General features: G+C 34.5%; 1 long non-coding RNA gene across 1 annotated transcript in view, besides 1 other annotated feature; it reads left to right on the forward strand.

Moving 5' to 3' along the window:
• The window catches only part of LOC105374391 (uncharacterized), a 52,893-nt gene extending 40,262 nt beyond the window's left edge, over positions 1–12,631 (forward strand). The window contains exon 3 of the long non-coding RNA XR_925178.3: positions 12,511–12,631. This is a non-coding gene — a long non-coding RNA (uncharacterized LOC105374391). The remainder of the gene's footprint in view (positions 1–12,510) is intronic.
• Positions 15,396–15,998: an enhancer, noted in NCBI's record as "NANOG hESC enhancer chr4:33524821-33525423 (GRCh37/hg19 assembly coordinates)". NCBI's record gives its function as "activates a minimal SCP1, AML or CMV promoter by ChIP-STARR-seq in primed H9 embryonic stem cells {active_cell/tissue: H9 hESC(primed)}" and the evidence as "EXISTENCE:reporter gene assay evidence [ECO:0000049][PMID:30033119]".

A 27,472-nucleotide genomic window follows, 5' to 3' on the forward strand; every position in this document is an offset into this window, starting at 1 on the left:
CCAGCATCATCCAGACCCCAGAATTGTAGATCCACCAACAGCTTCTGCCCTGCACCTGGAAAAGCTGCAGACACTCAGTGCAGTCTATGAAAGCAGATGGGAGGGGGGCTCTACCCTGCAAAGCAAAAGGGTGGAGCTGTCCAAAGCTGTGGGTGCCCACATCTTGCATCAGCATGACCTGATGTGAGACATGGAGTCAAAGGAGATCGTTTAGAAAATTTAAGTTTTAATTATTGCCCTATTGGATTTTGGACTTGCATGAGGCCTGTAGCCTCTTCGTTTTGGCTAATTTCTATATTTGGAACTGGTGTATTTACCCAGTGCCTGCACCCTCATTGTATCTAGGAGGTAACTAACTTGCCTTTGATTTTACAGGCTCATAGGCAGAAGGTACTTGCCTTGTCTAAGGTGGGACTTTAGACATGGGCTTTTGAGTTAATGCTGGAATGAGGTAGACTTTGGGGGACTATGGGAAAGGCATTAATGCATTTTGAAATGTGAGGACTTGAGACTTGAGAGGGGACTGAGTTGGAATAAATGGTTTGTCTCTTTGTCCCCACCTAAATCTCATCTTGAATTGTAGTTTCCATAATCCCCATGTATCATGGGTGGGACCTGATGAGAGGTAATTGAATCATGGAGGCAGTTATCCCCATGCTGTTCTCATGAAAGTGAATGAGTTCTTATGAGATCTGATGGTTTTATAAGGGAATTTCCCCCTTTGCTTGGCACTTCTCTCTCTTGCTGCCATGTGAAGGAGGATGTTTACTTCCCCTTCCACCATTGTAAGTGTCCTGAAGCCTCCCTAGCCATGCAGAACTGTGAGTCAATTAAACGTTTTTCTTTTATAAATTACCCAGTCTTGGATATTTCTTCATAGCAGTGTGAAAATGAACTAATACAAAGATTATTTCAAATTGATTAAATAAAAAAAAACAATAAGGCTAAGTTATTTTTGTGAGAAAAGAGGATGGAAAAAATGTAAGAGATTATAAAAGATTTATGGAAATAATGTGTGATAAAAAGCTAACTGGGGTTGCAAAAGTTTGTTTATAAAGTTTTATTAAAACTAGCTTTAGTATTGATAATACACTAATACAAACATAAAATTTGGTTTTCTCTTTTAAACAAAATTTTCATGTAGTAGTCGTAAGTCATACTAAAATATTTTTGTTCACCTTTTCATTAAAATCAACCTTTTGGAAAAAAAAAAGACTGAGAGAGGTGTGAATGAGACAAAAATTCTGTCCAATGCTGTTTTTATTAGGTCTTGGATTGTTTGGAAAACTGAGTTTATTCTCTATAAAATAAAATATTGGCTTCTTAAAAATTAAAATTTTATAATTATCACTTTGGCAAAATGAATGGTTATTATTTTATAGTGACTTGTGTGTGATCCTATTTTGATTAAGTGTTTAAAATCTTTGACATATTTGACCAGCTTCTCCAAGTCAATTTCAAATTCAAGGTTAAATCTTTTTTGACCTCAAACTAATGTAGGAGGACTTTAACTTTGGAGGACTAAAGAGGACCATTGCAGCATCCAAAAGAGAGATAAACAGTCTTACATGATATGCTAAATGATATGGGAAGAATTGTCAAATATAATATAATATTTAATATTCTTTGAGTTATATTTTAATGGATTTGTTATTACTATATGTTTCAAAATTGTATGAGAGTCCTAAAATTTTGATACATCATGATATATGTTATCAGTCATAATTATGGTTATTATTCTAAATTATTGTAGCCCAAATGTTCTTGTCAATTGCATCTTTAACCATAATCATATTAAGTCCTGAACACTGTTAATTGTTTAATTTTGATGCATTCTCTCTCTCTTTGGAAGAAATTATAATCCTAAACTGTTGTGTCTTCAAGGAGGTTCATGAAAAGAATAGAAAGGACCCTGACAATCACTCTCGAAAGGAGATTTTTAACAAAATTTGGATTATATCATTTGGACTGGGTGAGAATTCCCAGAACTCTAACGTAGAGATGGACTGGTTTATACAATGGCTAACCCAGCAGGATAAGAACTAATTGCATACCAAGAAAAAACCTTGCCAGAGTTTCGTGCTAAATTATCCAGTATTAAAATTGTTAAGATATGCAATTTGTGTAAACTGCGTGGTCCAAGTCAAATTACCTATGATCCTATGATAACCCACTTAATAAACACTACTATGCACCTGAATTTGAGAAACCAAATTGGTATTTAAGCAGATAATATTTAATTTTAAGCATCAATTCATGGAGAACCTATATGGCCCCCTGCTCCTTCCTGTCTTCTTTTCTTTTTCATCCTGTTTTTAAAGCTCCCATTATAAATATCTCTGTGCTCCATGACTCATCATAACAGAGATAAAATAATCCAGTATATTACCTAATTCAATCATATATTTGTAGATGAACAAATGTCAATCATTGGTCAAAAACCATTTTTATAAATTTAGAACAGTCACCACAATCGATCCAATGATCAATGTTTGGTCAGCTAAACTCCTGAAGGACTATTTGAATATTTGATTTTATTTAACTGCCAATTTCAATGGTTTCTGGTTGTCTAGAAGTGTTTTTATGCAAAAAGTCTGATGCTATTACAGTAGGTAAAAGGTTATTAGGAAATATCTTTCCTTCATGGAGCATGCCTGAAGAAATCTTTAGTGATGGAGGTACTTGTTTCACTAGACTCATTGCAAAACAATTAAATAGAGTATTATAGATTCAATTACATTACACAAAGATAACTGAATCAACTGGATTGCATCAGTCAAAAGTATTGCAGATTGATTACAATCAGATTTACTTCCACTGGAAAATATAATTTACCCCTTATAAAATTGTCACTAGAATTATCCCCAATATTAAAACCTCACGTATCTTTCAGATATGACTAAATGTTGCAAGATTTTAATGTATTACATTAAAGTGTATTTTCACTAGGTAAAGGAAGCTTTCATGATCCACCAACTGAAGACAATCAAACCCTTCAGGATCTATAACCCAGACATTTGGTTTTATGTAAACCATCAGAAAAAACTGCACTTGCCACCACAATGCAGCAACATTTTGGAACCTCAAACCTTGGTCCTGTAATCTCACAACTCAGTACGGCCCCTTCAGACTCTTGGAATTGTGCATGTATTAGAAACCTTAAAGTAAAGCTAATCGACAAATTTCTCCCCAGAAGCAGACAGTATCTTAGACATGAACAGCTTTCCTACGATCGAGGATAAGATTTTTCTGCCATCATGAAACTCTTCTCTCTCTTAATTTTGCTTTCTTATTTATGATTCTATGAATTATAGAACTGAAAAGGGGGCCTTTTGTATACCCATGGGGTATATTTTTATTTGTTGAGGATTTCACAGATAATTTTATACAGGGGAAGCCTTAGGCCTTGATGGATGGAATATAAATGTTCAATGTGGGCTAGGAATTTTAATGGTACCTTTGTTTCTCCATAGTCAGAAACAGAATATTTATTCACTCCTCTTAAACTCCATCATAGAATAGAGAGAATGTTGCAAGGAGGCCTTTACCCTTCTGGATGGGCATCATTTATTAGGTCCCTTTTTTATGACTTGGAGTAAATGCAAATGAGGCAATGATTAGAAATGTATCCCTTGTAATAGGCAGTGTAGCAGATTCTATTGCAAAGATTATCGTTCACAACAGACTTCTTTAAGTTTTCTTGCTAAAGTTGAGCTAGATAATAGAATTGTTTTACTGGTTGAATAGGGAGTAATCAGTGCAGTTGCTGACACTTCTTTTGCACGTGGACGAATACATCATGTATCACAGAGACTCAGTGGCAAGGGATTAACAAACGGGCTGCTCAGTTAAAACAAATACACTCTTCATCTGGTTCATTATGATAATTCTTTATTTTAGTTGGTTTGGTTCATGGGGACCCTGGCTATAGAGTAAACTCCCAACTATTGGTATTATCCTCCTGAGAGTTATAATAGTAGTCTCCCTGGTGTGCTTTACTCTTTCAAAAGTTTTTAATGTTCACATGCAGCCATGCAGAGAATGCCAAACGGTCTCTTTTCAATTGAAATGACAAAAATTCAAAGAAATAAGTAATCATGAGGACACTGTAACCTATAAACGACAAAGTAAGACCAAAACCCAAAATGATGGAGACCAGAAACCCAGAATGAGGTAACTGGGAGTAGTGCCAAAACTGGGAATTGTTAAACAAAATAATGGGAGGCAATTTTCTTGGATTGAACTCATGCACTAGGTCCACAGATCAAGCCAAAATGAGACACTAATACTATATGCTACATAAGTAAACTGAAACTTTAAGGAAGCAGATAGATCCCAAAACAGTTAATTTTTTTTCACCTGAAAACAATAGATTAGTGTGTAATAGAGAAATCCCCTCTGCTCTAATCCTTACAAAACAGTTACCTGAAGTAATCAATCAGGTTTCCTTTTTTCCATTGTTCCCACCTTACAAAACCCACTGTTCTGCTATTTTCCAGTGGAGTTTAAGACCAAGTAAGTCCATTTATCATGGTGACATAAAGACATCAATGCTTAAAGTTTTGGTCAAAGTCTCAATATTTTAGCCTAAAGCTGACTCCTTACATATTTTTAACTTTAGCCTAAAGATTTCCTCATACATAGTGAACTCTAACCTAACTGAATGTGTAAACAGACTGTAACCTACTCTTGTTACAAATAGCCACATCTCATCCAATCACAGCAGCTGAGTTTCAGCCAGTCGCAGACAGCCAACTGTTAAAACTACATTCAAAGACGCCAAAAACTGACTTGTGACCAATTCAGCTATTTCTGTATCTCACTTCCCTTTTCTGTCCATAAATGTTTTGCGGTCATGTGACAGCCCCCAAATCACTCTGAACCTATTCCAGTTTGAGAGCTTCCTAATTCTCAAAGCTTTCTTTGCTCAGTGAAGCCCTGTTTAATTGTTTTAAGTTTTTCTTTTAACACTATGTTCTCAACTACAATTGTAATCAATATAGAAAATGATTCCTGTGAAGGTTGCTAAATTGATTAAATTATTTTTCAAACTTCTAGTTGCTCTCACCTTGGGCTCTTAATCACTGTATTAAAAGAACTAAAATTTTGTTTCTCAATACTAATTCCCTGGCAACTCTTTTTATCATAGCAATGACTATCTACTTAAATGCATAAACTATATAACTCTCCGAATGGTTTCCTAAAGTTCCTTTCAGTTTTAAAATTTACAATTTTAGTGTGTTTTTAATAAATATTTATAATTATAGAGATAACTTTTATTTTGCTCACCTATTTTGAAGGATCGATGTAAGAATTGGTAAAATGATTGAATAGAAGTGAAAACAAAATATTATTATTATTGAATGCTTAAAGCTTGACCCGAGAGATCATTGCATTATATAATTTCTGAATAAACAGATTCCATTATATTCTTTGTGGGGTTAGTAAAATAATGTGGTATGACATAAGACAGTAAACATAGTTTCTGTTTTAGAAAAATTCCTTTTATGTACCCTGTTGGAAAAAAAGAAAAATATTTTTTCTCCATGAAGATAAGCTTCAGTGAAGTTAATTGCTCAGAGCAACTAGTCTTTTAAATTGTTTTTAATGAGGCACAAATCAATCATCTGCTCAAACAGTAGGATTTAAAACAGTGCTGCCAATGCTTGCACGTAGTATGTTAACTAGGTGTGTTCCTTTTCTTGGTGGTTTGGACATAAACTAATTATAAGCATATATTATGTAAGCACCTGTTGTATGTAAAGCACTAAACAAAGCAGTCTTTCTCAAATAAGTATTTAGATTGACAAACTATTCCTATTCCACTAAGAGGAACAAGTTAATATAAAAATAAGTTCCAACTAATTGCATTCACTAAGTAATCTCTAACTTACTCAAAATTAAGAATCGAGCTCATTTCTGAGAACTGGCTCCAGTAGCTGAAATTGTCTATGAACAAATTTTATAAAGTTTTAAAGACAGTTACTGCTTTGTTATTTATCCATCTCTATATCCATATCTATTTTGATATTTGAGGAGCCTATTGGTTGAAAATGTAGAGTAGACAGAGTTAACCTGGTAGATATATAGATAGGCATCAAATATATAACGATATACTAAGCAAAGTTCTTAACCCTTTCTAATTGAAAACAGAGGTAGCTCCAACAGAATTGTCTATATTGATAAATTTAACCACCTCTTGCCTGACTGGCTTTCAGAACATAAACTCCTGCACTCAGAAAAGACAGTGTGAATGTTATTCCAAAGTGAGGCTATATTACTAGTAGAGGCAATGCTGTCCTCACAGGGGTGGAGTGGGGTGATGACTTCACCTAAAGAAGCAAGACTGATGAATTAGGAAGAATAAGACCTGGTAGAATGAGGGACCAGAAAGCACTGACCTAAAGGGAAGCGAAGAAAAAACATCTGAATTATGGATTTGCTATTTGTATAAAGTTTCTCAGTGTCTACATGTTCAGATGTAGAAAGTTTTAGACTCACGTAAGTTTCTTGCTGCAAAATGTCAAAATCCTGTAGCTATTCCCTTCATTTTACATATCAGAACGCTGAGACTCAAAGTAACAGAGGCTGGGTTGGTACAAAATATCAGATATTCTTCCTGTCATTTCTGAGTCTCTTTGACAATGACAGCATCATGTGTAAGTTTTAAAGTACTATATACATGTTAGGTATTAATAGTTTGTGGTACTTGTTATTTCTCACAGTCTCACTGTTTTACTGGTAGCATAAGGCCTTTACAAGACTTGAGCCTCAATTAGTTATTGTATGATAACATTCTGTGCCTTTCCTGATTCAGTTTCTCATCTTTCCGTGAACTTTAAATTGCAGCAGACTTCTATGAAATGAAAAAAACTGAAACTCAGATAAAATTCATACTATGAAAAAATAAATATAATCAAATAACTTGTCCTTTTATCTAAAGTAAAAATAGATAACTTCCCTGTCTCCATTATTACGACAGAATTAGTATTGTATTAAAACTGGGGCAAAGGAAAATATCAGAAAACAAAACATCGTCTATCTTTTGGGGAGAATGAGGTTTGAAGTAGAGAGGCATTTTGTTATGCTTGTCTATCACCTTCTTTGAGAAAGTTTCTGTGTAGAGTCTACACAGCATGGCATCCCATGGCCATTTCACAGGCATGGTAAATTGTCTCAACCTTCCTTATGAATTCCGTGAAGATTTATTAAGGACTTTATGTACATGGCAAACACTACACTAAGCAATAAAAGTGCAAGCGAATGCTTACAAGGGGACACAGACAAAGTTGCAAATAATTAAGATTCACTAGGGTGAGCCCTAAAACTCAAATAGTAATAATAGTGTAATAGTAAGGCAGGCTTTAGAATCTGTAGAGAACTTAAAAAAGATGACAGCAGAGTTGGAGATTTTTGTATTATTAAGTAGGTGTTTAAAGTGTATTCAAGAAAGAGTAAAAGGCTTTAGAGAGGTATAGTTATATATGCTTTTTAGATAATCAAGAAGAGTTTTTTGGTTTGACAGAGCTTTTATGGAAGGAACTAATAGCTGAAGATAGAAATGCATCCAAAATCAGATGTTAGGAACACTGGGAGTTGTCTATGGGGAAACACTGAAGGATTTTAAACAGGACCTTGTTATGAGTTTCCAAAGATCATATTATGAAGTCACTTTTCAAGCCATGTAAGTCCAATTCAATTACTTTGTGTTTTTCAACATAATCTACTTCTTGGTTTACCTCTTCTTTCCCTGGAGGTGTCTGTGGCTGTGACAATACTGTTAGCTTCTCCTTTTTCTCCTTTTTCCCATTTCTCCTGCCTTTCCCCCTCCTCTCCCTCTTCTCCACCTCCTCTACTCCTCCTCTTCCTTCTTCTTTAACAATTTCATAACATAATCTCAAAATTACTGGTACTTTAGGTCTCAAAACTCTGTGAAGCTAATTAAAATCAAAGAGCTTTCATAATGAGTTAATAGATTTCATAGCTTGTTATGAACATGTTGATTATTGCTCTGTTGCTTTGCCCACTCTGTGAGTATAATGCAAAACTTATGGCAGGTATTTTTTAGAATGATTTTGACTTAAAAACAAAAAAATGCAATGTTTTCTAAAAATTTCTAACCAGTTCAAATAGCATTATTAATTTGGAAGACATTGGTAATAATAACATTAATTTACCATATGCATGATATGAGCTAAAAAATATTGACTTTCTATTGCCTTATAACACGTTAGTACAAACTGAGTAGTTTGATACAATACCTGTGTATTAACTAACAGTCTGAAGGTCAAAAGTTCAGTCACTTATGACTTAGTCCTGTCCTCAAGATCTTAAAAAGGTGAAATCCAAATATCAGCTAAATTGTGTGTCTTTCTGGAGCTTGTGGTCCTTTTTCTAGTTGACATTATTACTGGCAGAATTCAGTGGTTTGCAGTTGTAGTACAGCTGAGGTTACTGTTCACTTGCTGGCTTTGATACAGAGCTTATTCTCAGCTTCCAGAGGCAAGTAAAATGTCCTTGAAATATAACCCCTTCCTTATACCCTCTTATACTTTGTATATCTCTGACACTTGAAAGGGCAGTGATTTTAATGCCTCTCCTAAGTTGGTCAGGCTCACATAGATATTCTTCACCTTCATTAACTTAACTGATTGGATTGGGTTGAATTCTTGGTACATGAACTCAGGTATATGAATCAAGGTATTTTGTTGGGGTGATCAGACCCAACACCAGGCTGTGGGGGCCATGAAGTCCGGTAGAGTCAAAGGAATGAGACAAGACAAATTAAGAGTGCATAAAGTGGGACCAGGGGGCCAACACTAGTATGGAAGCTACGAAGGCCCTGAGCTCTGGAAGCCCACACTATTTATTGGTGATCAAACAAAGAAGCAGGTGGTGAGTCTGTGGGGGTTGAAAGAAAGTGCTGTATCAAGCACATGATCTACAGCTGTGACAGTTTAGCATTTTCTTTGAAGCATATGGAACATGTTCTGCTACTTGAGATAATGAGAAATATGTTCTTCTAGTTTAAGATACAATCGATCTATGAGCCTGGGAGTGCTAGAAGCAAGGAGCTAGCAAGGTTAGACACATTCCAGAGGCCATGAGGGGCTTTATGCCCTGAGCCCTGGATTTCGTCCAAGCCGCTAGAGGTTTTATGCCCTGGACTTAGATTGTGGTGTGGCAGGGCAGCCTTCCACCCTTTGGCACGGAGCTTGGTGTTCCAAAGGCCATGAGGGGTTTTAGACCCTGGCCCCTGGACATGTTCCGAGACTCTTTTACATTATCTCAGACATACAAGCCCTGCCTCAGCTTTTTTCCCAACACTCTGCTTTTCCTCAACAGTATTTTCCAGATATATTTTTATTACATCTGAGAACTCTCTTTGCTATATAATTTAACATAATTAAGTCAGATGTATTCTATCATCAAGAAGTCCCCCACACTCAAGGGCAGGAAATCACACAAGAGTGGACAGAAGTGATAGGAGACATCTTAAAAATTCTGCCTACCATATAAACATTCTGTTAAATGATTTATATGCATTATTTTGATATCTCAATATAATTTGATTGTCCCAGATTTATAGATAAGTAAAGCCAGTCTTTGAGAGAGTATGAAACTTGGCCAGCCAGCCACAGTGGCTCACACCTGTAATCCCAGCACTTTGGGAGGCTGAGGCAGATGGATCACCTGAGGTCAGGAGTTCGAGACCAGTCTGGGCAATATGGTGAAACCCCTCCTCTACTAAAAATGCAAAAATTAGCCAGGTGTGGTGGTGCATGTCTGTAATCCCAGCTACTTGGGAGGCTGAGACAGAAGAATTGCTTGAATCCAGAAGGCGGAGGTTACAGTGAGCCAAGATCACACCACTGTATTACAGCCTGGGCGACAGATTGAGACTCTGTCTCAAAAAAAAGAAAGAAAGAAACTTGGCCTAGGCTATAGGAGGAATTCAGCTGAATTGGATCTGAAATCCAAGGATGAAATATTTTATACTATGAAATACTTCTTTGTTAACAGTTAATTCTCATTTAACAAAAGTAGTTAAATTATAACTTTTTAATGAAAAGTATAGATAACATGTTGAATCTATTTTGTTTTTTTCATTTTTATGCTGATGCATACTGAGAATTCACATTGATATAAACCTGAACACCAAGACATTAAAAAATATTGTTAATATCTCTGAGGTGTGTGTGTATGTTTTTGTGTGCACACATGTGTGTATTTGTGTGTGTGTACACATTCCTATATTGTGAAGTGTTGGTTCAATGGCACTGGTGTTACAGGATTACATTCTTCATCAGTTTCATCAGTTGCATAATTTGTGTTTCGTGTGTGTGTGTGTGTGTGTGTTAGGTCCCTTCTATAAAGTAATACAAATAAGTTAAAACTGAACTCCTTTTCATAGAGATCATTGATCTACAAATATTGAAGGCAGAATTCTAAGATGTCCCCAAGATTCTCAACCCCTCTGATACAGGCTTTATATAATTCTCATGACTATGAATACGATGAATTTTGCTCCCATGGTTATGTAATATGGCACAGTAGGCTTAAAGATAAGGAACTTAGCTGGTGGGTGTGACCTAATCACACAGACCTTTTAAAAACAGAAAGGCCTGGTCACAGAAGGAAAAGTCAAAGATATTTCATGTTTGAGAAGAACATTTTCTATTGCTGAGATAGAGAAGATCAAGTAACAAGGACTTTAGATCAGCCTCTGAGAGCTAAGAATGATCCGTGGCCAGCACCTAGCCAAACAAGAGGACCTCTTATGACCACAGGAAATGAATTATACTAGCGACCTGGAAGAGTTTAGAAGTAGGCCTTTCTCCAGATTAGCTTCCAGATGAGGATAGTCAGTCGACCCCTTGATTTTAGCCTGGTGAGACTCCTAGCCGAAGATTGAAATTAAATGCGCCAAATTCTTAACCACAGAAGCTGAGATAATAAATTTGTGTTGCTTTAAACTGCTAAATATGAGGTAATTTGTTACTCAGCAACAGAAAACTACTAAACACATAAAAGGGAATTTTAATAGTATGGGTTCTTTAAACATTTGAGTGAATTTCGAAAGCCTTGTTGGGTTCTTGAAGAAAACCATGCAGGCATGCTCAGACATCGACACTGGTTTCTTAACAACCAAACTAGATTGTCTTGTCAAGATGCTTCAAGGAGCTATACCCTTAAAATCCATCTGTTCAATAGCTGTGAGGTGAGATTTCCAACTGACACATATGATTGCTCTCACGTAGACTATCCAAGGTTTGAAAATGAGAGCTGTCACACTTGGCTGGTTACTTGGAATGAGAGACTAGGTTTAGTGTATCGAAGCCACTGAATTATAATGACGACTGATTCTCTTCAACGTCTAAATTAAAAACAATAGTATTAATAAAATGTTAAAAATGGTAAAATAAATGAGGGGGAAAATTAAGAAAGGCAGTAGAAAATAATAATATGGAGGGTGCATGTTGTTGTTAGGAGGTGAACTAAAACCTCAGTGAGACGTATAATCTGGACTTAATCTGGAATACATGTTTGTACTTCACATATATGGAATTACTTTAATTTACAAAGCTTTTAGATAGTCCAGCTGTTAAATATTCTATATATCAGGTATTAAAGGTTATCATAACATATGGCTTTTACAAAAAAATTGCTAAGTCTAAAATTATTTTTTCCCAAAAGGCCATTATAAAGAGATATTTTCTCCCTCCTAAAATAAAAAAAAAAAACAACACACACATGCACACACATTTTAAACAATAGCATTATCCCTGATAGATGGATACCTAACTTTTTTTCTTCCTATAAAATAATTATTTTGAAGTATTGGCAGCTCCCCTTATATGCACATGCTGATGAGCACAGGTGTGTAAAAGCCATATGGTCACTCTTTCTAATTCATCTTGTTCATTAAGGTGACATTAAATTTTATTATAGCACTTCAATAATGTTAGTTTTTTCATGCCTACGTTATTCTATTTCATCAATATTTCAAAAACAATGCCAAGACTATTTTATATTTTATAATAAACAGGCAATGAAATTTAAATCAATAAGCACTTCAGTTCTAATACATGCCGCTTAGGTTTAGAGAGAAATATGGTGTGAATTAGCATCCTCCCTTTAGATAAAAAGACTCATTCATTAAGGAAGACATTCATATGCTGAGACACCATAACCTATTGGAAACACTCTAATAAAAAACCAATCACTTATGTTTTCATAGCACTGCAATGCTCAGGAAGTAGGGGTATGGAGTCAGAGAGTGGGTTTTAACAAAATTATTTATTAATACAGTAGTGGAAAATACTGATTAAACTATTCCCTACTTCCTGCCAACTACAGTCACCTGGAAGGAACACGCTAAAAGAAATACAAAGTGTCAAAGAAACATTAAGATTGAAATGTAGTATTCTCTGACATATATAGTCTTCTTAGCTAATATGATCTTTGTTGCTTTCATTGTTATTTTTTTTTTTTTTTGCTGTTTTTCAGCATGCATCTACATCTTAATTACAATTAAGAAATATCTTCCTGGCCGCATGCAGTGGCTCATGCCTGTAATCCCAGCACTTTGGGAGACCGAGGTGGGTGGGTCACGAGGTCAAGAGTTCAAGACCAGCCTGGCCAAGATGGTGAAACCCTGTCTCTACTAAAAAAAAAAAAAGAAAGAAATATCTTTTAGCTGTTTACCTACTTCCTGGAAAAATAGTAGCTCTCTGTAGCATTACGGAGTTTCAGTGGAACCAAATTTTTACCATTAAAAACTGGCATTAAATTGAAATATATGTTATATGCCTCAGTCATTTCAAACTTCATTGTAATTATCTAGCTCACAAGTTGGTGAACATTCAAAACTAGACATGAGTCACGACATCTGTTAACATTTCTACTTTCAGATTATATCACAAGATGGCTAGGAAAAGATTAGATGGCATTTTCCTAAAAATTACCTGACAATTGTCCCTCACTTCTCATTCTTTTTTTAGAAGAGATAAAAGTTTTTATTCTATAATAAATGTGTAGGAATTCAAGGGACAGCAAAAGATAGAAAATAAATAGAAACTATAAATAGAAATTGAAAGGCATACATCCACATAAATATGAAATAAACCCTGAAAACCTAAAAGAAAAAACAAACAAACAAAAAAAAAAAACAAAGGAATCAATGTTAGAGCACAAAGGACAAGACTTTATAATTACATTCTGCACATCACTGCTTGAAATTAGAGCTCATTTTGTGTATAGAGTAACACTGGTAAATATTCAGTTTGGGTATTGAATATAGATTGTTGATGTATTTGTAAGAAATCTCAGGCAATTTTCAGCTTTGGACCAGTCAACATGAACTAGAACAACTTTGTTTATGGCCCCCTACAGCTGAACAGAATTTAAAAATAATAAAACCTACTACTACCCATTGTGTTTTCAATCTCATTGACATTATACAAGTAAATAAAAATGTGTTCTACCTCAGAAATTTCCTTAAAACTGAGTTTCAGAATTCTAAGTATGAGTGCTTTACATAGGTATCTGTAATTTCAAGTCAAAATACTAATTTGGTAACAGAGTAGCTGTACTATCTGTCCCCACATGACATTTCTTTCATTTAACTGCCCAGGAAGTCAAGGTAGGTAATGAAGCCTGAATCATGGCAAATGTCAAATAACTCAATCTGCCCCATTTGAAGCATCATACAAAAGATACAATGTTATCTTGGCTCATCTGTGGGTCTGGCCTTTATGCGATTGGTTTATCATATACTGGCTTCTAGCTTCCACTTGTGTCTCTTAGGGTGAAGCTGTTGGTGTTTTTTGTGGGTACAATTTCTGCTACAGATCTGAGAGAATATAATCCTGCTGTGTTTAGCAAATCGCTCTTCCTCTGAATTAGTATTTTAAGGGGCCTTATATGGTATTGCTTAGTTCCTTTGCTGCTGGTCCAGAAGCTTGAACGGCAGATTTATCTTCAAGGAAAGTTATGTTCTATCACCTTAATGGGGAATTAGCTACATAAAGTATTTGAGATTCTTTTTCATGGGAGATTTGTCTATTTTTACCAATTACTTATGTATTTTATAATTTATATCATTATGAACACATGAATATTTACTTCATACTTCTGTTTTAATTCAATCCTTCTTTCTTTGTTTTGTTGTTTAAATTGTTCCAGCTTTGACAATTAGAAACTTTCATAGTTGCCCCCTTTGTCATACCCCCATTAATAAACGTTGTTGTTTTTAGCACACTTGCTTGCTTTCTGACATCATAACATGCTCCAGATTCATCTTGCGTATTCCCTGCCCCAATCCTCGAATCAGGCATTATCCCAGGCTCCTTTATTTGAGAGTAGTGTTAGAAACCAAGACTTGGGTGTGGTGTTGGATGTATTTGTTGTGCTACTACGGTGTCATTGCTTCTAGACCCTCTCAGCAGGTAGAGCTTGGAAAATATAGATGTATAATATATGCTAAACTCATTTAAGATTTTTAAGCAAAGTTCACTACATATGGTTTAGACTCTGTGAAAATTGTACCTACTAGAGTTGGGGAGTTCACTGACTGCATAGTCAAGTTCAGAAGCTCTGATAAAGTTAACACTGAAGTGATACATAAAATCAACTTGTAAGAAAATGGCGGAGATAGTCTATCTACTATTAGTACAAGCTGCCAATAGGAAGCAACATTTTGAGCTAAAAGCAATTGAATAATTGGATCTAACAAAAAAATCATCTAAAGATAAAGGTACAAATACATATATCTCTTCCTAAAAATTTGATTTACTTTCTCTATGCTTAATGCTGTCGCTCATGCTAATAAGTATGTGAAACCATCATAATCAGTAAGGCAATTAAAAAGCAAATATGAATAAGCTCTAGAGATATATTGTACAACATTTTACCTCTAGTCAATAATATGGAACTGTACACTTAAAAATTTTGTGAAGAAGGTGGATTGCATGTGTAGTGTCCTTACCAAACTAAAATAAAACTAAGATTAAAAAAAAATTTAGAATATTTTTAAATGTTCATTTTGAGGTAGGAAAAAGATCTGTACCATTAATAAATAAAATCAATATTGAAAATATTTTATTTTATCAAATTAAAAATATTTTAAATATGTTTATATTATTTATAATGTCTTAGCACAGTGGAAGTAGAAAGTAACAGTAATATAGAAAATATTTAAATAAATGAGGGATTCTGATTTGGGTCAAGAGGGAGTAATAATAACACAGTGAAACAGAAAACTGCTTACTTTCCTCCAAAGAGGATAAAATATAAAAAACAATAGTTGATACACATTCACAGACAATAAAGCACTATCATCTTAAGAAGTGGAGCAAGATAATAAAAACTAAAAAAAAATTAAATTAAGGTCATCTCTATGACTGTCCCAACTGATTGGCTTGAGAAGGTTATCAGGATGCAGGGAATGGAGAAAGAAATCAGTGAAAACCTGGTACATTCCCTGTCTTCAGAGAAAACTCTGATTGTACTTAAGACATAACAGGCTGAGAGAGGGTACTGACCCAAGGGCCTTTGTGTTTCCCTCGGCTGAATTAAACTTTAGATAAGTTTCTTTCTGCCAATAGGTCTTACCTTCCTTTTATTAGAACTTCTACTTCAGAAAACTTGCAGTGATAAATTCTTCTGCCTCTTTGAGATTTAGATCTTCATAAAATCCTTGTGTACTACTTAAACAACAACCTTGTATTGTCTTTCTCAAGAACCTGGAAGCTGTCCCTTTGAAATGTAACCATCAAAGAAGATAATACCTCTATTTCTCAGTCACTGTGAGAGGGTAGGCACCTAACTTCCACGGGTGCATATTAGCAAACACAGATGACTTAATTACAAAGAAAAACATTTACATACTGGGGAGTAACTCAACATGCTCAACACATCTCATTGATCAACCTCCCTTTTAATGTTCTTCAGTACTTTTCCACTAGCTCACCCTAACTGTTCAAATACCCTTTCCTTCTGTTTTAGTGTAGTTGAGTTTGGAATGAGTTCTGCCCTCTCTCCCATTTTAACAATATTGAATAATGTCTTCATTATCTATTCAATTTTGTCCTGGGCAAATTTTGATCTGATAATGTGATACCTGAGTAGTTGCAAAATATTTTTACTTTGTATCTTGCAAAACAGAATTTATGTTTCAGCCATACTTTGGGCTTCTAGAATTGCACAGTAGAAATTTTGAGAAAGTTGGGAACAGAGAGTGGATTGACTAGGAGAAAGGAAGTGCAAAGTAGTAAAACACTTAGAATATAGTAGAGGATGAAAAACTCAAGTGCTTACATATTGTGATGTGAGTCAAAATAGCAGCAACATAAGTCATAGTGGAATTAGTTTGCCCCAAGCTTTACAACAGAACAATTCTCAGCAGGTTGTGGTAAATATGAAGACAAACTTCTCCCAGAGGGAATCTGCTGCAGCTTCCTTATTTATGTTATTTTAGAAAATGACTTCATCGGGCCGGGCGCGGTGGCTCACGCCTGTAGTCCCAGCACTTTGGGAGGCCGAGGCGGGAGGATCACGGGGTCAGGAGATCGAGACCATCCCGGCTAAAATGGTGAAACCCCGTCTCTACTAAAAATACAAAAAATTGGCCGGGCGTAGTGGCGGGCGCCTGTAGTCCCAGCTACTTGGGAGGCTGAGGTAGGAGAATGGCGTGAACCCGGGAGGTGGAGCTTGCAGTGAGCCGAGATCCCGCCACTGCACTCCAGCCTGGGCGACAGAGCGAGACTCCGTCTCAAAAAAAAAAAAAAAAAGAAAATGACTTCATCAACTTTTTCTATTGATCACAAGGGAAGAATTCCTCTAACTCGTCCAAGGACCATATTTATTTTATACTTATGAAGATTTAAAGTTCCAGTTTGTGTTTTGGTTTGTTTTTGCAATAATGATCTCCATTCTAACTCGGTCTATTATCTAATTCTCTATGTCTAGTTTCTTTATCTATAATTTGGAGATAACAAGACATGGAGTGGTTGCCAGGATTAAATGAATTAATATATGTAAAATGCTTAGTAAATATCTAACATAGTTAATGCTCTATAATTATATATTATTATTATCACTATTAATCACAGTCAAGGCAGATCAACAGGTATGAGGAAGAACTTTTTTTACAGTTGTTTCTTGGCAATATACAGAACAATAGGATATGGAATTTTGCATTCCCCTCACTTCATCCGTTACTTCTAAACTTTGCATAACATCTATAAATCATCACTCTTCTATACAGTTTTATTTACCAACTTAATGCTCAATCAAGAAGTAGCTCATTTCATTTATAAAGTGAATAACATTACTTACTCCATGTGCCAGGAAAAAAATGTTTATGCTTCTTTCTTTTTTTCAGTAAGGTACACTGAAACCCTAGATGAATAGTTTATAATTCAGAACGCATGCAACATTCAGGATGGCTGCTTATATTCAAATAATAAAAAGATGGTAAATAAATCTTGATGACTAATGACACTGAAATAGAGTATTATTTAGAAAAATGAGGCTTTTATATTTTTTTAAATAAATTACAATAAGTTATATGTTTGTTGTAAGTTAATGAGTATAGTCATTGTACTTTACCTCTGATTCACATAGCATTTTACATTAAATCAGAAAAACTGACAAGATTTTCTCTGTGTTGTTATTCTGCATTAAAAAACTAGCAAAAATAATTCGACTAAAATATAGCTTTAATTTTGATTCACTATAAAGTCATTATTTCTAGAAATCTCTATGATCAAGAAAAAGGATGCTATTTGAGTTATTAAAGTTAAGTTGCTCTGGGTCTATGAACTATTTCTGTATGTCAAAAAATAATCAATTGTTTAAACATGAACAATCTGATATCTCCCATAGTGTCAGTAAATGTATTTATTATTGAGATCATAGGAAATTTGTTTTTTATAAATCCAGCATCATGGAATAAGCTATATAAACTTACTTGTCTCTAAGGTAATGTTGCAAAACAAACAAACAAAAAATGAATAAAATGGCATTTCTAAATATCTTACGGTCCTTGCCTCACATTTTAAATGGTTGCATTTATATGCTATAAGTACATTCTAAGTTCACTACAATATTTACAGCTACAACTAAGTTCTCACTGGGTTCTGAATATCTTTCTTTCATGCTGTTCATATTTCTTAACTTTTGAAAAAAAATTCAAGGGAGAATCCATGCAAACTATAAATTATCTTGTTCCTGATTCAACTAAAGGAATCAACAGGCAATTATCATATGGGATTTGTGTGTGTGTCTGTGTTAGCATGCCATTGTACCTGTATTTAGGGTATGTAGTATAGATCACTTCATTTGAAATATTCTGTAAAGATATTTTAAGTAATGATTATAATAAAATAAAACTTAGAAATGTACCTAAAAAGACATATTCCCCCTTACAATGGAAACTTCATACTATTCAAACTGCAAATTAGTATATTTAAGCACAGACTTAAGACCAAAATGTATGCTTAGGCATGGGGATAAGGAAATATTTTGTTTTTAAATGTTTTTATTTTCCTTTTATAAATATGTTGCTATTTGAGATTAATTTTTTGTTGTTTCCTTCTCACAAAATTCTCAATACCAGCAATTAGGAAGCATTCTTCTTCTCTTTTCAGCATTGTTACTTTTCATCGTCTTAATCTTAGTCATTTGAAGCATAGCCTCATTTCTGAGCCTATCATCATGAGTGTTCATATTAACTCTATTATTCAATACTCAATATACTAATATCAATGTAAAAGGACATTGAAATGTGACTTCAATCAAATATCATAATTTTTTACATCAGGTCTCTCATTCCAGAAGTTTCTGATACTCAGCCTAGAATTTCTATAGTGTTACCAATTAGTCACACAAACTTTTTGGGTCATTTGGAAAAATCCAAATTATTATTATAATTTTTGCAAACATATCCAACACTTACTGTCTACTTAATCTCTTAATTCTCTTGATGAAAAAAAAACATAGAGAAAGGAGGTAAATAAAGTAGGCTCTTGAAATCTGAATGTATTTCTTATTCTAGTAGCTGGACTAAAAATAATATATTTACACAACACTTGGAATCTGTTCAGATTTTCATATCTCAGCATGTCATTTCTAATCTATTACCATGTTCACCAAATAGGCTTTCCCCCCAGACTTGAATAATTAAAGAATTCTTGACTGCATGTCATTTTTTTAAGGTGTCTCCTCTGCAACCAAGTGATCGCTAAGAATTCAGCTACTTCAGATTAACTTCCCTGGGGTTGGTAACACAATCCCATGTTGCTAGCTATCTTCAGGTAAGGGAAACACCCCTACCAAAAGCTTCCAGCTAATCCTCATCCCCAAGCCATTGTATCATCCATTCTACTAGTCTCCCAGAATGAGGATGCCAGGATACTTCTGTCATATCATCAGTCTCTTGGGTAGAGCTCAGCCTGCTACCCTTTTCCGAGGATCTGCATTCTGAGAAATTTTTCATCTGAGTTTCCCTCCTTCCTGTCCCTTCTGTGGATCCCGCTTCTGCTTCGGAGTGAGGTGTGGACAACTTAATTTCACTCAGTTGTGCCTAATTTGTTTCCTCATCTTTTCAGTTAGTTCTTACATTTCGGCATGCTGCTTGTCATACCCACCTGAGGTCAAGGGTTTAAAGCCAGACTGTAAACCAGACATCCCTATGATCTTTACCAGAGCAGCTCCTTTCCCAAGTCTTGTACCAAAGCTTCTGACACTTCTAACCTTGGCTTTAATATCTTTCATTTCAATATAATGAATTTTCATTTTGCCGTTTTTTTATTTAATGTCTCTACTTGAAAATATGCTTTTCTGTCTTTAGCATTTTGCTCAAGAGAATTTTGTAAATACTGCTCCAGCACCCTACCTGTTTCATATCCCAGCTCAGAAACCAAACACACTATGGACATAGCCAAGATACCAAAATTATCCAAACATACATGCATGCATGCATGCATGCACACTTGAATAGACACATTTGTGTGCATGTGTGTGTTTGTATATAAATAAGCATACTGTTTGTTTATCTGCAAGGTTTAGAAAGCTAAGGGCCAAACTGTTCAGCCTCCTCCACTTATATCACGGGCAAGAATATCATTTTCTTTTTTTAAAAAATTATTTTTTTACATTACATTCTAGGTTTCCATTGCAATTCTAGTATCCGGAAATTAAGAATGGTTCTGGAAATGCAGAAATGCACACTTTTTATATTCTCACACATCTCGTCCCAATATTGTACAAGAGTTTCATTAAGCCAGGCGTAATGACACACATCTGTTTCAAGACAAATTGTTTGAAGGAAATTATCATTAACCAATGGAAATACTACACTGTTGTTTAAGAAAACTCTTTAATGTCTCAATACTAACTTTAACCAAAATAATTTGTACTACTCTTACAAAAATCAGTGCTTAAGTTCAGCTCTCTTTCACATACCAAAAAATATTTATTATATACACATCTTGAAACAGAATTCTCACAGTAAAACACTTCCTTGGAATCATTCTCTTCTTTAGCTTTCTCAAGGAAAGTCAATAATAAAATAGGCTATTTTTAAAACACCTCTGTCATATTTTTAGCTTGTGGAGTCGCTTTATTGCTGGCTCCTTTTTTTTTTTTTTTTTTGTCAGATCTGTCTTTATTTTTCATGAAGTCAGAGTCCTTCATAAAAGAGATAGACCATTTCCCCAGCTGGACTTTTGTTATCTCCTCAGTCAAAAATAATTGGCTACAAAGGTAGAAGGCAGGATCTCAACAACCTATCAGAGATTCTGACATTTAGGTTTATACATTGCCTTTAGAGAACAGGTAAAATTTACCTTTCTGGCATACCTGTTTTTATGTTCCAACTCTCTGTCTTCACACTTGCAAAATCTTACAGAGGGATCCCCTTATACTGACTTGTTAGTGTCTACCTTTTTCTTCTAGCCATTGTTAGAGCCAGACATTTAATAAGGAGCCTTCTCTCCTGAATTTTAGCCTTCTGGGATTATTCTTTTTTTTCCTCCTCTAAAATAACTTTTTGCATTTCATCATTTGGATTATCTACCTCCAAGGATCATTTCAGACATTAAAAGATTATCCACTCCACTTTTTAGAAGTAACTCTATTAAAGAATAAAACATGAATTGATCTACAATTTTAGAAATCTGTGAGTTTTTCTAGAAATTACTGCCCAGATGTTCATGATGGATGCTATTTTTCAGCTTAGCAAAATCTTCTATTTACCAGAGTCCCACAGACACATGCTCACACATTCTCCTGCTTGCTGTGTCAAATTCTTGAGACTCTGTCTACATTCCATTCTGTAGAAGGACAGTCCTACAAGGCGAGTATAGTGAAAGAAGAACAACATAAGCAACAACAACCTACATTACTCTGAGCTCCAACACAGAGCACCAGGAGATGAGGATACATATTTTTCCTATTTTTGGTCTTTGGAATCTAGGCTTTCTTTCCAAGTATTGATGCCTGTTTAACAAGCCAAGGCAGCAGCATGGATGAATACAAGTGCATGATGTATTACTTAGCACTGACCCAGAATGAAAAGGTGAGTTGTCCTTGAGTGGGTGGGAGGATGGGAGGTCTTTTTCTTTCTGTAATAACTAGTCTGAAGTTTATTTTTTAGTAGTCACATTCTTCCTACACAGCCAGTCTCAAGTTTATTCTTTAGTAGTCACATTCTTCCTACACGATTTTTAGCAGAAAATCCTTCCAAATTTCTCCACGACCACTCCCCAAGCAAGGACTAACCATTTCTTCTTTGCTACTTACTTCATTTACCTAGGTTTCTATTACCATAATATTACTAGCATCAAGCAGTGGTTCTGTTGTCAAGGCAACTAAAATGTTTACTCGTTATAATCACTGCTAAGTTCTTGGCTGTCCTCACTTTTTTTTTAATTCAATAATAAAATCCATTCCTTGTTTCTACATACTTTTTTCCTGATTATGTCTTCATGAAAGTGTCTTTGTCACTCTCATTCAAATCTGATTAAACTATATGTTTCTCTTGCACATACTGATGAATTTACTTCTACTATACTAACTTACCTTGGTGTCTTTTGTGTCCTGCTATATCGTAAATATTTCCTCCAGTTATTATTTGTCACTAACAAAAAACCACAGAATATTTATGTTTAAGGAACGAATATAAGAAGGGCAAATATTTGGAATGGGAATGGGTGGCCAGAGTTTTCAAAAGCAAACCAAAAAGGCAATAAATCCCAGAAGGCAAGTGGCAGGATCAAGAAAGAGAAACAATTAATCTTGTCAAATCATGAAAATGACTAATTATTATACTTGAAAAGAGGAGAAAGTTCTGGTAGAAAAATTTGAATGCTTAAGTCCCACATGCAATATTTTTCAAATGTCTACTATATATTTAAGTAGAAATATGAAAATACTTAAATAGAAATATTTAAATATAAAGCAGACATTTGAAATATATTGCATGTGGGACTTAAACATCCCCAACACTCATCCAATACATGGTTGTTTTACACTGATAGTGACTACAGTGGACGTATTTGCTTCACATAAACATAAACCAAATCAAACCAAACCAAACCCAACTTATCTCTCAGGAACCCTGCTAGATGCTTTACTTTTCATCATAGTATTTGATTATTAAAACATATATTAAATTAAAATAAATATAGGAAGAAAGCAGAAAAGAAAATAGAAATAGTAAGGAAGAATTGGCACTAAGGAATATAGGCAGGGCTAAAAACATTTTGAGGAAACAATTCACTTTGCAGCTCCTCTTAGTATTGAGTTTTATTTTTATTAAAAGTAGTATTCCTTTTAAAGTGGCATTGGTCAATGACAATTTCAATGGCTTATGAATTTTCTGACTGTGAAAGGTATTCTTCAAAAATGCCACCTTTCTTCCTGCCTTCTTCCCCAATAATCCACTCCTGGTTTTCTCCCCCTGTGTAATCCCTTTTCACTTTGAAATAGCTGGCCTATCTAACAAAGAGATTGCAGTGCAGATGAGAATGCAGCACTACTGAAGCTGGATCGTAGAATGCTTGTGGCTTCTTGCCTCCATTACTTGGAATTTCCAGTTCTGGGAAACAAACAGAAACACAACTACCATGTTCTGAGAAGCTCAAGCCACATGGAAAAATTACGCACAGGGTCTCCAGGTGACAACTGCAGCTGAGCAGGCATTTGAAAGCCAGCATCAGCCAGGTAAGTGAGTTTCCTTGGCCTTCCCGCACGGTGAAAGCTTCGCAGGACAGCAGTCATATCTAACAACTAATTACAACTGCTGAAGAGAGACTCCAAGCAAAATCCACTTAGCTAAGACCAGAGTCACAGTCCACCCAGCAGTCCAGAGAATTATGAACGATAGTAACACATTGCTGTTTTAAGACACTAAGTCTTGAGTAATTTCTTATGCAACAATTGATAACTAAAACATGGTTTCTAAGTAGAAGATGCTTAATAGCCCACTGCGACTTTTCTCTAGCTTCCAATTCCACACCCCATCGAAAGAAAAAAAAAAGCCAAAACAAACAAACAAACTGGAATGACACAGTTAGACTCACATGAAAGACACTCCACAATTAATCTAAAAATTAATTACTTCAATGCAGATATAAGTTGTCATTTTATTGAAATTAACTTTAGTCAAAATGTGTTGAGTTATATGAAAATGCATCTGAATATTTAAGACATCAATTGAGCTATGTTGACATTGTAGATAGGTAGGTCTAAGTGTTATATCACTGCAAAGGTTACTATGGCTTGTCCTAGGATAACAAAAGCTATATCTTTTTTCCTGATGTTTCCTATCAACTAGATTATATCTGAATAAATTTCCTTCAAGTATTTTGGAAGCAGAGCTTTCAGCAGTTTTGTTTTATTTTATTTTCTAGTGTATGTTTTAAAAATCTATTGCATGGGTTTTAATTTTCTTTGTTCTTTCTTTTTATTATACTTTAAGTTCTGGAATACATGTGCAGAATGTGCAGGTTTGTTACATAGGTATACACATGCCATGGTGGTATACTGCACCCATCAACTCGTCATCTACATTAGGCATTTCTCCTAATATTCTCCTTCCCCTGGCCCCCTACCCCCCGACAGGCCCCTGTGTGTGATGCTCCGCTTCCTGTGTCCATATGTTCTCATTGTTCAACTCCCACTTATGAGTGAGAACATGCGGTGTTTGGTTTTCTGTTCTTGTGTTAGTTTGCTGAGAACGATGGTTTCTAAATATACAATCTTGTCATCTGCAAACAGAGACAATTTGATTTCCTCTCCTCCAATTTGAATACTCTTTATTTCTTTCTCTTGCCTGATTACCCTGGCCAGAACTTCCAATACTATACGAGTGGTGAGAGATGGCATCCTTGTCTTGTCCAGTTTTCTAAGTGAATTTAGTTTGTATCATAAGTGACATATCTTCATAGAAGAAAGTACAGGTACTCAAAAATTAGATAACAAAAACTGTGCAGAAAACACATTTGAATTTAAGTATGTATGCATTAAGTGTGTATTTTTTGAAAAGCAATTGATTCTGCTGACATTGTTATGTATACATTTTTTATGCATGTTAAAAACTGTTAACATGCTTTCCTGATATTAAATATGCTAGCATTTATATAATAATTTTAGTGGCTTTATAATATTTTATTTTATGGGTTTATATAATATATATTAAAATTTCTGCACAGGATATTTTTATAAATGTGAGGTAGATGATCAGTGACCATATTTCACATTTCAAAATAAATACAAACACAAATTTAAATTAGCTATAATACTTATACTTTAGGAATAATTATTGTATGACTAATTAGCCCCCATCCTTGTTTTTAAAAAACCCAGAATATATACCCGTTAATTTAGAAATAAATGCATTGATTCTCTTTTGTCTCTTCTAAAAACACTCATTCTTATGATGAATGCAAGAATTACAAAGGCATATTCTGTCTCACTTATTCAATCAAAACAGGGAAGAATGTATTGTATTTATTCAATTGAAATAAATGGCACAGAAGAGGAAGATAAGTGAATTGGTCTATTGCAAAGTCTTTTAGAATAAGAAATTAACATCGAATTTCATATGCATTTTACTTTTAGTGTGCCAGAGAAATACTGAATTGAAATTTATATCTCAGAGGTCTGTAGGAATAGGAATTGAGTCATTTACTAAATTATTAAATTGTACTCTAAGAGTCATTAGCTTAAAAGTTTATTATTGGATTAATCTATGCTATCACAGCATTCCTTTCATATTTAATATTCTTTTCAGACTCTCCACACACTTTCTGAAGGTTATAAAGAGTTTAAGAATGATCTCATAAGAGAACACTGTTTTCTTACAGGTTAGTTTAGTTACAGGATAGAACTACGGGCTAAGTAGGAAAACATCTTCAATGTTTCCCATGTCCACATTACAGTGATCCATTCTTTAAAATTAGTAAGTTAAAGGAGGCAGTGGGAACTTTAGCTCTAGTGCGTCTATGCTAGTGAGATAAGAAGGGGTTTATTTAACTTATTTTGTTTTATAAAATTTAATCTATCATCAATAGTTCTCTGGTTTGTGGAGAGAAGTTTGGCTTGACTTTTCAGCAAATAGGTCAAATACTTAGTCACTTTACTGATATCTTTTCATACAGAGTTTGTTGACTACTAATTCTACAGAATTTTCTTTTGGAATTGGGAAGAATTGTATCGCTGTTCTTGAGTATCCCATAGATGGTCGCTGTCAAAATACCCAAAGCTGAACTCATTATGTTTTGTAATCTTTACCTTTCTCCTCATTACTTATCTTGATGAATGATACTAGCCAATCAAGTAAAGACCTAAGGATATACGTAGGTTACTTTACTAGCTTTTAAATGTGGTTTCCTATTTCTAGTATGATCATACTGTAATGCATTTCACTTATTACTATATAATATTTATAAAATTTAAATTTAGCCATAATATCTCTTTGTTTAAAAGTACTTAGTGATGCCCTAATATTCAGAAAATATTTTAAAAAATTTTGAACACATAAGAAAACTCATCATATGATTTTGCTTAACAGGTCTTTCTACTACTTTCTATATGCAGTTTGTATCAGTCAAAATTATGTTTAGCTTCTAATTTTTAGAGCAGATATCAGTTTACTTCTCATACATACATACAAAATCCAGTCACCTGTATCCCAGGCAGCAAGACTGAGGAAGAGGCAAAGAAAATTGTGCCCCATGCTTAATTTGCATGAAAACTCATCTCAACCTGCATATCTTTGGTCAAATCTTAGTTATATGGTCTTACGGAAATACAAAGAGCAACCGGATATTCTAGTGATTAAGAGAGAAAGAAAGCATTGATAAACAAATAGAGAAAGGAAATTAATACTTGGTAGACAACTAGCGTTTCTACCACAGCACTTCTTATCAAGACACGTAAAATGATTTGCTTTCTAAACATATCATGATGTCTCATGGACATTCAAGGTGTCCTGTCTAGAATGCCTTGTTCTGTCTTTGCACAGCAAAATTCTGTCTATTCTTTAAAATCAATTGGGGTCCGTCCAAAAACTTTCTGTGACACTTGCAGTCTTATTTACTAGTTTAGTGTTCTATTTATACCCATGTTATTATGACTTGCCATTGTAAATGCTTTATAAAAATAATTTTAGTTTCACAAGTACAATACATTTTTTTTTTAAATCATTGTTTGCTTGTTTTACTGAATTTTATATTCTTCTACATTTAGGCTAAAATCAAAGCCTTATAGAAATGATATAAATATAAGGATAAATGAGATACCAGAGAATCATAAAATGAGGGAATTTTTCACTTTAACGTGCATCTGAGAGAAGAAAATAATTAGGATTTATCAGACCATAAGCAGATTGACTTAAGCAAATTCTGGGAAATGTTATTTACATATATGACCTTTTAAGTCTTGCTAGTTTTTATAGGACAGCTTGCAAGAAAAAAAAAACTGTGTTTTTAACCATAATTTTCTTTTTTCAGCATAGAATAAGAGCTACACTCTTTCGTGTTTCATTTTGTTTTTTGTTCAATAATTATGATGTAAAATTAAAAGCCTCTAATGCCCTTTTCCCAAATTAAAATGCATAGAAAACATAAAAACCTCTTGTCAAAGTGTAAGTGCTTATAGCCATTGAAAATTGTATATGATTGCTTTATTTAGTTTCTCAAGCCCAGCTAAAGAGAAATGCTTGGTTATGTGTGATTGCATACTATATCTTCCTGGAGGGAAAGCTATTACACAACCACTGATGGCCATCCATAAAATGCAGGATCTGTTCTGACCCTAAGAATGAGACTCATTGAGCTAGATGTATATAGCAACCAGATATATAGTAAAAGGCAGGGTGCTTCTAAAAGCAAGACGGGAGATGTGTAGAAGTAACTTTGGTAGTAGGGAATAAGAATGTGACCCTGCCTTACATCTATTAAAT

Source organism: Homo sapiens, chromosome 4 (genome assembly GCF_000001405.40).
Source record: "Homo sapiens chromosome 4, GRCh38.p14 Primary Assembly".
Lineage (NCBI taxonomy): Eukaryota > Metazoa > Chordata > Mammalia > Primates > Hominidae > Homo > Homo sapiens.